The sequence below is a fragment of the Homo sapiens genome, chromosome 16 (genome assembly GCF_000001405.40).
Source record: "Homo sapiens chromosome 16, GRCh38.p14 Primary Assembly".
NCBI classification, from domain to species: Eukaryota; Metazoa; Chordata; class Mammalia; order Primates; family Hominidae; genus Homo; species Homo sapiens.
The window spans coordinates 27726499-27739952 of NC_000016.10; the positions used below are offsets into that span (position 1 = coordinate 27726499).

The window sequence follows — 13454 nt, forward strand, 5'->3', positions numbered from 1 at the left end:
ACACGTGGCTGGTGACTACATAGGGGACCACATGAGTCTCAGTGCTGAGGGTACAGTGGTGAACAAATAGACAAGGCCCTGTCCCCTCTGTTGGGGAAGGGACAATAAACAAGGATACAACGAATAATGTGATTTCAGGTCACACTAAGTGTTCCGAAGACAATAACACAGGACAGTGAACGAGGGCCACAGGGAGGAGGAGGCTGGGCTGCTTGGAGCCAGGTGGCCAGAGGCCTTCCCCGAGCTCAGTGATGACCAGGAGCAGCCATGGGGCATCTGTGGGAAGGGCATTCCCCACAGGGCACAGCAGGAGCAAAGGCCCTGCGGCAGGAGTTTGAGGACTGTGGTTTCGCCAAGTGGCTGGAGCATGGGGAACAAGGAGTGTCATGAGAGGTCCCAGAGGGAGGTGGGGACCAGATCCTGTGGGCCAGCAGGTTTGGATCTGATTCGGAGACAGGCAGAATATAGTATGGTCAGAGCCAGCCCATCTGAGACCATGTGGCCTGGGGCAGGTTACATCACATCTGTATACCTCAGCTTTATCTGAAAAATGGGATATTGTCCAGTGAATGCGTGTAAAGTGCTCTGAATCATTCCTTGGCCTCCTGCCCTCTGTACGAGGGTCAGCTATTAGTGTCATCGCCGGAGGCTTGTTAGCAGGGTGATGTGATCTGATGGAGGATGTTTGTTTGTTTGTTTGTTTGTTTTTCTAGACAGTCTCTCTCTGCTGCCCAGGCTGGAGTGCAGTGGCGTGATCATGGCTCACTGTAGCCTCGACCTCCTGGGCTCAAGCGTTCCTCCCACCTCAGCCTCCCAAGTAGCTGGGACTCCAGGTGTGCACACCACACACAGCTAGTTTTTTTATTTTTTGTAGAGATAGGCTGGTCTCAAACTCTTGACCTCAAGTCATCCTCCCGCCTCAGCTTCCCAAAGTGCTGGGATTACAGGCGTGAGCCACCACGCCCGGTCCTGATTGAGGAATTTAAAAGACTACTCTGGTTGATTTGGAGAATGGATCAGGGGGCAGAGGGAGCCCCGAGAGAGGAGGCTCAAGGCATAGAACAGCCTAAGAACAGCCTCGCTGAAGATGGTGGTGGCCTGGATGAGGGTGTCAGTGCTCTTGGGGTGCACTTTAGGTGGGCTCAACTCATCCTATGACCATTTGCATTTTCAGCAATGCCTTTTTCTGGAAAGAAGTTTTCAAATGAATGCAAAAGTGAAGAGATTAGTTCAGTAATGAGGCGTGTATCCATCACCTGCTTCAATAATTACAAACATTCTGCTATTGTTGTTTCACGTATCCCCTTAACATTTGAAAGTAAATTGTAGCTATCACACTATTTCACTCATAAATCCTTCAGTATACATCTCTAACAAAAAAAGTTTGTTTGTTTATTTTTCTGTAACCTTGATGGCACTATCGTGCATGGCCATAATTAATTATCATGCTCTGATACCCACTTCATATTTAAACATTCCTAATTCTCTCAAAATTGTTTCTTTTACACTTGGTTTGTTTGGATCTGATACAAACCAAGACCAAACATGTCAATGACTTGGAAGTCAAAGATGCAACCTTCATTTGGTCACCCGAGTCAGTGCGGCCTGATGGCTCTGCCCCATGGCAGGGTCTGGGCGCTGTGGGGGCCCGGGAAGTATGACGGGCATCTTAGCAGGGCAACTGGTGGAAAGGGGACTGACCCCATTGCATGGGAAGCTTCCTGAACTGTGGGCCTCAGGCTTGGTCTAGGCCACTGCCAATGGCCAGAGGGCACTTTCCGTTGGGTGGGATGCAGTGAGTATAGTCTGTGGGCAGAGTCCTCACTCAGGTAGGTACAGGCACGGTAGCCATGAGAGTTCCAAGAGGGTCAGCTTTAAAGCGGGTCCCCAGCCAGCAGGGGAAGGAGAGGTGAACAGAGAATTCAGCCTTTATTTATTTGTTTATTTATTTAGAGACAGTCTCGCTTTGTCACCCAGGCTGGAGTGCAGTGGCCTGATCTCAGCTCACGGCAAACTCTACCCCCTGGGTTCAAGCAGTTCTCCTGCCTCAACCTCCTGAGTTGCTGGGACTACAGGCACGCACCACCATGCCCAGCTAATTTTCGTATTTTCAGTAGAGATGGGTTTTGCCATGTTGGCCAGGCTGGTCTCAAACTCCTGACCTCAAGTGATCCACTTGCCTCAGCCTCCCAAAGTGCTGGGATTTACAGGCATGAACCGCTCGGCCCAGCCACATTCAGCCTTTAAAGAGAGCAGCCCCACAAGAACACTGGGATTCAGAGCCAGGCTCTACTCCTAAAGAGAATGAAAGTGGACTCAGAGCCAGCATGGAAGCTGAGACCCATGTCCTGTGCTGTGCAGAGCAAGTGGGCGGGCTGCAGCTGGAAGTAGGCAGAGGCCTGGGCAGGGGAGGGCTGCTCACCCAGGTGTAAGTGCTGACTGGTGCAGCAGGAGAAATCACAGATTGTCTGGAGGGTGGAGCTTCCCACCTGCCTCCTGCCAGGACTGACTCAGTAGCTGAGCCTGTTGATTGGAGTTCTCAGTAGCAGGGCTATTTTATCAGCCAGGATTCTCTTGGTACCAAAGGACAGAAAACCCAATTAAAACTGGGTTAATCACACAATAGAAGTCTTTGGCTCATGTAAGAGAAGACGCTGGGTGGCTGGCTTTAGGTATGGTGGCATCCAGGAGTTCACATGATGTCATCAGGAATCTGCCTCCCTCCATCACTTAGCTCTCTTCTCCTCTGTGCTGGCCTCATCCTCAGTTTCCACGTGGTAGCCCCCAATGGCATCAGGTTCATGCTTATTTCAGCAGCCCCCGCAGAAAGAGACTGTCCTCGTGAAAGCTGCAATCTAGCGCCCATTATTGGTCAGACCTGCATTGCTACCTGGGGTGGGCCCACATTATCCACATGAGGTGAAATTAAGAGAAGGTTGGATTTTCAATGGGAAATTGAAGTGCTGCCTCTAAAAGGAGGAAAAATCATCAGGGAAGATAGAAAATCATACCCACCCTAAGTCCTTTTTCTTTTTCTCTTAGAACATAGGAGTCACATGCTGTTGAATTTATTCATCAGCTTCCAAACTTAAACCTTCCTTGACACTTAACCACATATCAAAGCTGCAGGCCTAACCACTGGATCGCTATTTCTGGCCTTTCTTACTGCGAATGCACACTACTCCCACTTGGCACACCCAAACCCTGCCTGTCTGTCCACCCACACCAGGCTTCCTTCTCCACTTCCTTTTTCTGTCCGCGCCAGCTCCTGGCTCACAACTTTGATCCTCTGACTTCCCTTTGCCCCTCACTGTCAGGCATCTCTGAGTCCTACCAGTTCTATTTCCAAAACTAGTCTCCTTCCCAATCCAGCTCGTCCCTCCCCTTCTGCCTGTTGCTGCATGATACCTCATTCCCGTGTATCCCCATCCTTCCCTCCACTGCTCATGGGCTCAGCCCCTCCTCTCATCAGCAGAGGTTTGTCAGTTGCCCCAAGCCCAGGCGTTGTGCTGGGAATCAGCACTGATACGCTGCCTGCCCCTGCAAGCTCATGCCCAGGCAGGGGAGGCCCAGGGGCCCTGCAGTGAAGGCGATGAGCCCAGGGCCTCCCAGCTGCAGAATGCTTCAGGGGAGCAGCCATGACTCACAGCTGTCACAGCCTCCCAGAGCATCCTGAGAAGAAGGCTGAACACAGGCTGTGCACTGGTTACCAGATGCAGTTCACAGGTAGACTTCCGCTGGATCACATGATGTTTTCAAAATTATTTGAATTAATAGCCAACATTTTAAAATTGGGAGGTTTTGCATGAAAATATGAATTTTTTTGCTTTTTTTTTGAGAAACTAGAGGATCCCACATTTACACCTGGAAACTTGAGTGGAACTGAGTCACAGCGACACCATTGTCCTTTCACTCCATTGCCTGTCTCATTTGCAGTACTTGTCTGGACCCTGAATGTGTTTGCATTGGTGACTTCCACCACTCCCTGACCCCAAAATCTGGCTCTCTGGCTCTTTCGTGCTTATACAGCTTTGACCTCCCACTGGCCCCCATAAAACTCTTCTCTCCTCTCTGCCTTAGCTCCTGCCATCCCCAGAGCCTGGAATACCTGACCCGTCTTGTTACAAACCTGCCTTTCAAAACATTGAGGTTCAGCTTAAACCTGACTTCACAAACAAGCCTCCCCATACCCCTAGCCTGCCTTAGGCCCCTTGTGGGGGTCTCCAGTGACACCCTTCCTGGCATCAAGTCCCTGCTTCCTGAGGGTGTTCTTAGGGTTCTGAGCTTCTGATGTACAAACAGGCACCCCCGGCCAAGTCTGCCCTGCAATGTGTTCGGTTTTGGTCCTCACAGTGTTTACAGCTTCTGAATTGTTTAATGACAACATTTGGAAATTGGCTTTTGATGACCTGGCAAATATTCCCTCTCTTTCATCCACTGGCTGGAGCTGAATGCTCCCTGCTTCCTCTGGACTTGAGAGTATACATCTTTCAGCTCACAGACCCCCCGTGGCTGCGGTGCCACTAGCATTTGAGCATGTGACCCCTTCACCTACAGCTGGTTGTGAACTCTTCAAGGCGAGGACCCTGGCTTGCTTCCTTTGCATCCCACACAGGCCAGGACCCCCCCGTCCCCCACCAAAAGACCCCCATACAGTATGGGCTGCATTGAATAAAGTTGCAAGAATTGCATGCCAGGGCCTCAACCCAAACTTAGCAGAGTTTTGACCTCAGTATGCATGGGGCTCCTCCTATGGCTGCTGCCAACCTCTGGCAGAAACAGGGGGATTGCCGCACTGGGCCCTGCAGCGCAGTGTCTCTGAGCCAGGCCAACCTTGAGCAGCCAGCCTCGACGGGTCTATATACATTTAGGTGCAGTACATTAGGTACAAGACATGAGGGTGGCTCCTGTTTCTTGCATATGTGGCAAGCGGTATTTAAAGCACTTTACATAAATCAGCTCATTTATTCTGCACAGCAGTCCTATGAGACAGGTACTGCAGTTACCAGCTCCATTTTACAGATGGGGAAACTGAGATACAGAAAGGCAGAGCAACTTGCTGACGATCACATGACTACCAGGCAGTCTGGTGCCCATTTCACGGCCCTGTCTTTCTTTTTCTTTTCTTTTTTTTTTTTTGAGACAGAGTCTTGCTCTGTTCCCCAGCTGGAGTACAGTGGAGTGATCTCGGCCCACTGCAACCTCCACCTCCTGGGTTCAAGCGATTCTCCTGCCTCAGCCTCCCAAGTAGCTGGGATTACATGTGTGTGCCCCTACACAGGGCTAATTTTTTTGTATTTTTAGTAGAGATGGGATTTCACCATGTTGGCCAGGCTGGTCTCAAACTCCTGACCTCAGGTTATCCACCCACCTTGGCCTCCCAAAGTGCTGGGATTACAGGCATGAGTTACTGCGCCTGGCACAGCCCTGCCTTTCTATAGAGCGACCGTTGTCACTGGAGAGCCAGGCCCTGCAGGAGGGCAGCCATTACTCCACATGTTAGCGCCGACCCGGTATTGCCACACAGCCTAAATTTTTCAACAGAGGCCAGAAATGCACTTTGTTATGTGAAAGCTCCCAATTTGTAAATATTACTAATAATTCTAAAATTCTTAAATGCTTGGTGAGCTAAACGAGCATGGTTTCAGCCAGAGGACCACCAGTGTGTGAACTAATCAGATCCCATCCACGTTTGTCATCCTGAGTCTGTGATGCTGGGTGGGACACGGCATGGTCTTCCCAGAGTGTGGCTTATAGTAGGTGTTTGTTAAATGTCTCAGTGTCTTACCATCTTCTTCTGTCCCTTCGAGGAAATTAAATTGCATATCACAGAGAATGGTGTTCATTGGCCTTCCTCCCAAGGGACACGTAAAAGACCATGAATGAAGGTCACTTCCCAATGAAACCAGAACTCCCTGTAAGTTTAGTCCCCAGAGCAAGACCTCAAGACAGATAGGAATAGCCCTTTCCCCTGTCCTTGAAGGTCTTGCCTCCTGGGGAGGACAAGCATGTGTCTGTGGACACTTGGCTAAGCAGTAGGTGCAGAGAACCAGGTTGCAAGCCCAACCCCGAAACCTCAGAAGAAGACTCAAGTCAACCAGAGTCAGGGAGGAGGGGGAGACAGGGAGGGCCAGGGGCTCCCTGGAGGAGTCAGCCCTTGAGCCAGGTCCTAAAGTGTGTGTGGCAGCACTCTGGGTGACAGCACCTCACTCCCCCATAGCCCTCCATATCTCGATAGACCTACAGTTAGGATAAAAGCAGTGAGTCCGGGAGACAAACCCTAAACCCCTGGCCCAGAACCCCTGGCTCCTTCCCGTGCTGGAGCCAGCACTTCCGGGCAAAGAGCTAGGAAGGACAGCAACCCACGCTTTTGCTCTGCAGAGGTGCCAGTAAATGTTCCCAGCCAATGACACAACTCCCAGAGTGTGGGATGCCTGCAGTATGGGCTCCCTGGGCTGTGCCTGAAGTCCAGCCAGTGCACATCTGGGCCGACTCCAGTTGTGTCGCCATGCCAAGGCTCCATTTGCCTTAACGGACCCACCTTGGCATGTGGTTTTTGGGCCTAGCCAGTGCTTCATTCCAGATGTTTGTTCTCAGGTTGTATTGGCTGTGCCAAAGGCAGGTGCTCATCTCTGGGGAAAGTGGCTTAAGATGCTAAAGCCCACAGCTCTGCTTCACTGTTGCCACAGTGGAACCGTGCCGCCATGAATCTTTGTTGGGCAGTTGTGTGTTCATTGCAAGAGACCTGCCATTCTACACTGGGGCCAGGGATGAAAGTGGCCTTGCTGAGTTAATTAATCACTTAGATTGAAATAATATTAATATTGTATTAAAAATGCATTACAGTTTCAGCACAGTTGATTCTCACCAACTGTAAAGAAGGAAGATAAGGGCAAAATGTGGGCCAGGAAAGGTGTTCCCATTAACTACAAACCAGCCACAGAGTTTCAAACTGTCCTTTTCAAAATCCATTGCAAAGGGTGTTTGAGGCAGCATGAACAAAAGGCATAAAAATAACTCTAGTTAAAGAAGGAAAAAAAATATTCACACCAAGGAAACAAGAAGGACACACACACACACACACACACACACACACACACACACATATGCAGAGAGAGAGACAGGGTTCTAAAGGTTAAGGTTAAGACATTCGGCAGGAAGGAATTTCATGGTGCACTTCATGGAAGAAGACAGAAGAAGGGAGAAAGAGCCTGGGGTTAAAGCCCTGACGACTGGAGGGGGAGGAAGCAGGCTGGTTCTTGAGGAGAGAAAGGATTTTCCCCCTGGATCCTTTCGTAAAGATGTCCTTTATACAGAGCTGCACTGAGGGGGCGCAGAGGAATCCAGACTCGCAGAATCTTCCATCCTGCTTTCCTCATGGGGCAGATGTGACTCTCATACAGCCTCTAAGCACACCCTTGTGGTATAATGACACTTATGCGGTATATACGTAAATATGTAGAAAAATGTCTTGAAGAACTGGAACCCACACACATACGCACACCCACCACCCAGTGGAGGTGGAGGTGGGGGCTGGGGTGGGGTAGGAGACAGTTAGTCTATAAGGACTTATTTATTATTATTATTATTATTTTCTTTTTTGAGACAGAGTTTCCCTCTTTTGCCCAGGCTGGAGTACAGTGGCACAATCTCGGCTCACTGCCACCTCTGCCTTCTAGTTTCAAGTAATTCTCCCGCCTCAGCCTCTCCAGTAGCTGAGATTATAGGTGCCTGCCACCACGCCTGGCTAATTTTTGTATTTTTAATAGAGACAGCGTTTCTGGCACCTCTGCAGAGCGGTCTCAAATTCCTGACCTCGTGATCCACCTGCCTCAGCCTCCCAAAGTGTTGGGATTACAGGTGTGAGCCACTGCGCCTGGCCCATAGGGACTTATTTAAAAAAAAAAAAAAAAAAAAAGGCCAGGTGCAGTGGTTCATGCCTGTAATCCCAGCACTTTGGGAGGGCGAGGTGGACGGATCACCTGAGGTCAGGAGTTTGAGACCAGTCTGGCCAACATGGTGAAACCCCATCTCTACTAAAAATACAAAAAATAGCCGGGCGTAGTGGCGTGCCTGTAATCCCAGCTACTCGGGAGGCTGAGGCACGAGAATCGCTTGAACCTGGGAGGCAAAGATTGCAGTAAGCTGAGATCACACCACTGCACTCCAGCCTGGGTGACAGAGAGAGACGTCTCAAAAAATAAAAATAAAAATTTAAAAAAGGGTAGGGGCTCAGAGCTCCACCGGTACAGGTGCTCCTAACAGTGGCTAGGCTAGCATGGGCCAGGACTGTGGCTTTCTTGGAATCTAGCTTGACCCACAGAAAGATGGTGGTTAAGACCTTAGCATGCCAGCCATAGTGGCTTACCACATACCAGCTGTGTGACCTTGGGGAAGGCATGTGCCTCAGTTTCTCCATCCATAAGATGGGGCCCTAATGCTTCCCTTGCAGGATTGTTCTGAGGATGACATAGGACAAGGCAGTCTGTTATCCTTTAAACAGAATATCCAGAGAAGTGACTAATATTCCCTATGGGGACCCCACTCTGGTGATCCTTGGGCCACATCTGCCCATGAATGTGGCTTGTTTGGCCTGCAGAGTGCTGGAAACCTTTCAGAGCTCAGAGCTGCCAGGCAGGGTACGACCCTCCCACCTCCCTGTGACCCCTGCATACCACTGATTTCCACCTGAGCCCACTCCTCTCTTACAAGCCTGACCCCTGCCTCCGCCTGCTTCCCTCTCTCAGTTCCCTCTCCGCCAGACGTCTTGGTGGGAACAGGGCTGGAGGTCAGATGGGCTCTGGACTGGGGAAGGAAGATGGGTGGCCATGTTGTGGAAGCCGGCCACCCTATTAGGAAAGCTAGGATGCCCACCTTGTGACTGTGCTGGACTAGATGGTTTCCCCATCACCCACTACCTCTTTAAAGGAAGGTGTTTCTGTCTCACCAGATATCCCTGTGGCAGTAATTTTGCAGAACCAGTCATTGAAAACTGCCCATGCTGTCCTTCTCAAATAGCTGTTCCCCGGTGAATTCACAGCACGCACTTGCTCTGTGCCTCTGCTAAACAGAGAATCCATCCATATAAGCAGGTAAAAGAGTGCTTTGAGAATCGACTTTTCTGACAGTCGGCAAATGGTAGCCTGCCATCTGCAATTGGAGGATTGAAGCCGAGTTCCTGTGGCGTAACGCAGGCCGGACAGTTCTCCTTCTAAATTGCTGCGGAAACCTCTGTAACTCAGTGATCCTGAAATTTGTTAGCTCCTACTCACCTAGCTTTCAGGAAGGCTAAGAAGGGGTTAGTATAGGTGAACATCTCCAGGGTCTCAGATTCTGTCTCCCAAGAGCAGATCAGAAGCCAAGGCAACACGGGAAATAAACGATCTGGAGGTGAAACCCACAGGCCGCCGCTTTTCTGATCAGGTTCATTCTTAGAGCACTGTTGAGACAGCAGTGCTGTTCAGGAGAGAAAACCCATGTTTATTCATTTGCTATTCCAAAGTAATTTATTTATTTATTTTGAGACGGAGCTTCACTGTCGTCACCCAGGCTGGAGTACAATGGCACGATCTCAGCTCACTGCAACCTCCCCCTCCCAGGTTCAAGTGATTCTCCTGCCTCAGCCTCCCGAGTAGCTGGGATTACAGGCTCACGCCATCATGCCTGGCTAATTTTTGTATTTTTAGTAGAGACGGGGTTTCATCATGTTGGCCAGACTGGTCTCGAACTCCTGACCTCAGGTGATCCATCCACCTCGGCCTACCAAAGTGTTGGGATTACAAGCATGAGCCACTGCGCCTGGCCCAAAAATAATTGTTGGGTGGCTACAATGTGCCCTTGGACAAGACGGGCAGGGCTTCAGCTGTCTTGGAGCCTAACTTTGAGTGGGAAAAACAATAAATAAGTTAAAAGCTGATAAGCAAGACCATTCAGAGACTAAAAGGAAATAAAACAGGGCAATAAGATAAAGAGGGGACCGATGAGGTGGGGCTGCCCTAGAGGTGTGTTCACTGAAGGTCCTGAACAGAAGAAGGAGCAAGGCTGTGGGCATCTGCGGCAGAACACGCCAGGCAAGTGCACAGGCTCTAAGGCAGGAGGAACAGGCTGAGCCACATCAAGGAATCGAGGCAAGCGCCAGGAGCCGGAGTCAGAGAGGTCAGCAGGCACCCCTGAAGGGGAGTAGGATTTCTTGTCAGTGCCATAGGAAGTCACTGGGCAGCTTTAAGCAGGAGGCTCCCATGATCTGATTTCAGTTGTTAAAAAAAGACTCACTGCTGTGTGGAAAATGAAGTGAGTGCAGGGTTTGGGGGAGACAGCCCAGAGTGGAGGCAGAGAGACCAACTAGGAGGCGATGGTGGTGTCTCTGGGGGAGACCCTGGTGGCCCAGGCAGCAGCACACGCGGGCAAGGAGGTCAGCTCCAGGGCGTGTTCTGGAGAGAGAGCCGAGGGACGTGCCCACATACTGGATATGAGTGAGAAAGTGAGAGGGGACGAGGGGACGGCAAGCTTTTTAGCAACCGCTCGAATGATGGACCCATTTTTAAGATAGTTTAAGACTAAGTGTGGAGAAAGTGATTTCAGAATTCTGTTTCAGGCACACCAGGCACATTGACTCACACCTGTAATCCCAGCACTTTGGGAGGCCAAGGCAGGAGGATCCCTTGAGCCCAGGGGCTCAAGACCAGCCTGGACAACATAGTGAGACCCCGTCTCTACAAAAAAAAATTTATTTTAATTAGCTGGTCGTGGTGACGTGTACCTGTAGTCCCAGCTATCCAGGATGCTGAGATGGGAGGGTCACTTGAGCCCAGAAATTCAGGTTGCAGTGAACCCTGATCGAGCCACTGTAACGCCAGCCTGGGCAACAGAGCAAGACCTTGTCTCTTAAAAAAAAAAGAGAGCATTCTGTTTTGGGCATTTTATATTGGAATTCCTGTTAGATATCCAGGAAGAGAGGCCAAGCAGTCACTTGGGGCTTGGTGGAGAGGTCAGGGTTGGAGATGAAAATAACTGGGAGCCTGGGACCTGAATGAGACCACCTGGAGAGCAAGGGAAGAGCACTCGGGAGGCCTAGGACTGAGCCCTGGGCAGCCTAGTCGTTCAAAGTGCAGCCGAAGAAAAGGAAGCAACCCAGGAGTCGGGCAGGCTCAGCCAGCGAGGCAGGAGGAAAGCCAGGTGGGTGCAGAGCCACACAAGCCCCAGGGAGGAAAGTCATCGCAAAGGAGGGGAAGCTGCCGAGTACTGCCGAGCCGCCACACCCACCCACTCCTAGGAGAAATTCCTATTGCGTATGGCAGTCAGCTGGACCCTGTAATTTACTTTAGGAACCAGACACTTCTGAGAGTCATTAGTAATGACACCAGGATAACAGATATAAATCAGAATTGTCCCAGACAAACTAGGATGGCCCGTCACCCTAGTTACAGGTGCCCGGGCCAGGTGGGTTCCATGTGGAGGTGGAGGCAGAAGCCCAACGGGAGGAGGAACAAGGGGTAGTGGGAGGAGGAGCCCACGGGGACAGTGACACTCAGAGATTCACTGACGGGGTGACGGACAGATCATGCGGGGGGCCCTGCAATGGAATATTCCTTAGCAGTAGAAAGGAAAGGAACTATCAGTTCCCATAACACAGGTGAATCTCAGAGCAGTTATGGTGACTGAAAGAGCCGAGCAAAAAAGACTACATGCAACATGATTCCTTTATGTAAACATTCCAGAAAGGACGATCAGTATATAGGGAGGGACCATAAGTGGGTGGTTGCCTGGAGCCAGGGAAGGAGGAAGGGGAGACAGGGGTTACCAAGGGGCACGAGGAAACCTTAGGGTGATAGGTACGTTTGTTCTCTTGAGTGTGATGGCTTCATTGGCGTAGACACATGTTAAAACTGATCAAGCTGTACCCGTTAAATATGCACAGTTTATTGTATGGGGTGTGTATTCTATTCCCCGATAAAGCTGGAAAAAGAGTTTTGCTGTAAAGAGGATGACACAAGTGAAACAGTAGCAGGAGATGTGATTTTATCTTAAGCATGGAAGGAAGAGAGTTGAACCTGCGTGACATAGGGGCATTTAGGCTGGCAGTGAGAGAGGAGAGCGAGGTGGGGACCATTTGTGAAGGTTACTGTATGTCATGTGGAGAGCTTTGGAATTTATCCCATCATCGGCATGGTTCTGCACCCCGTCGTGTGAAGAAATCATCCGGAGAACTTGTTCTGAGTCCAGAAGTTACCTACAGGCTGCCTTGAGGCAGTGGTCCTCACACGGCATCCTCCTGGCTCCCTTCCAACTGCAGCTGCCGTGAACATGGGACAGTCCCCGCATGTGGACAGTGCCCTGCCTCAGGTGCTCGTGGGGTGCTCTGCCGTGGGAGCACACTCAGCTCGTGCATGTGTTGGGGCATCAGTGCCCTGAGGGCAGCCTTCAACAAGCAGTGGATAAATGTCCCAGTCTTGGAGAGACATTTGCGACATGCATTTAAGCAGAAGACTCCCATGATCTGATTTCAGTTAAAAAAAAAAAAACTCACTGCTGCATAGAAAATGAAGTGTGAGTGCAGGGATTTGGAGGAGACAACGCAGAGTGGAAGCAGAGAGACCAATTAGGAGGCGGCAGTGGTGTCTCTGGTAGAGACCCTGGTGGCCTGGGCAAGGAAGGCAGCAGCACATTCCAGGTAAAGAGGTCAGACCCAGGAAGTGTTCTGGAGAGAGAGGCGAGGGACAGCTGGCGGATTGGATGGGCAAGTGAGAAAGAGAGGGATCAAGGGGGCCACGAGGTTTTTGGCCACTGCTTCAATGATGGAGCCATTTTTAAGATAGGTGAAGACTAGGGTTGGGGAAAGTGAGATCTTGGAGTGCCGCAGAGGGCCCCCGTGGGAAGGAGCACCAGTTGGCCACAGCAGTGACCAGCTCAAAAAAACTGGGTTTTTCCTTTTTCCTGCCCTATCTTGCTTTCCCCATTTCCTCTTGGAATCACCTGCCAAATACTCGACTTGCACCCGAGTCCTTGTCTCAGCCTCTGCTTTTACGGTCTCCCAATTATGATGCCCACGGAGGCCAGGAAAGCTGTTTTATAAGCACTCCAGGCTTTTCGACGCAGATGGTCTCAGGAACTGGACTTTAAAGAACACTGCTATAGGCTGTGAAAAAACATGAAGGATTTCACACAGGGGAATGACTGGACAGATTTGCTCTGGTAGGAAATGAACTCTGGTGGCAATGTGAAGTCCAAGTTAAAGTAGCAAGAGACAGGAAGCAGGGAGACCCATTAGTAGGCTATTACGAATGTCCCGACAGGAGGTAATGATGACGAAGGCAGCGATTGAGGCCGTCTCTTTGTGAAAGTCCTTTGATTTATAGAGTATGTAGCGGTTCCCACAGAAATGAGACCAAGCCTAGTTTCACACCCCCAGCACTGTGGTTTTCAAAAGCTTGCATTTCTAGCATTTCACATTTTCT

At 50.4% G+C, this 13454-nt stretch overlaps 1 protein-coding gene across 20 annotated transcripts in view; it reads left to right on the forward strand.

The window, feature by feature from the left end:
• The window catches only part of KATNIP (katanin interacting protein), a 230201-nt gene that overhangs the window by 176355 nt on the left and 40392 nt on the right, over nt 1-13454 (forward strand). Inside the window, exon 1 of one of the 20 annotated variants that reach the window (XM_011545777.3) lies at nt 8997-9092. The exons of the other annotated variants lie outside the window; for them this stretch is intronic. The gene's annotated coding sequence lies outside the window, so the exon portion shown is untranslated. Of the gene's footprint in view, nt 1-8996; nt 9093-13454 lie in introns of those variants that run through there. 20 annotated transcript variants of the gene reach the window in all.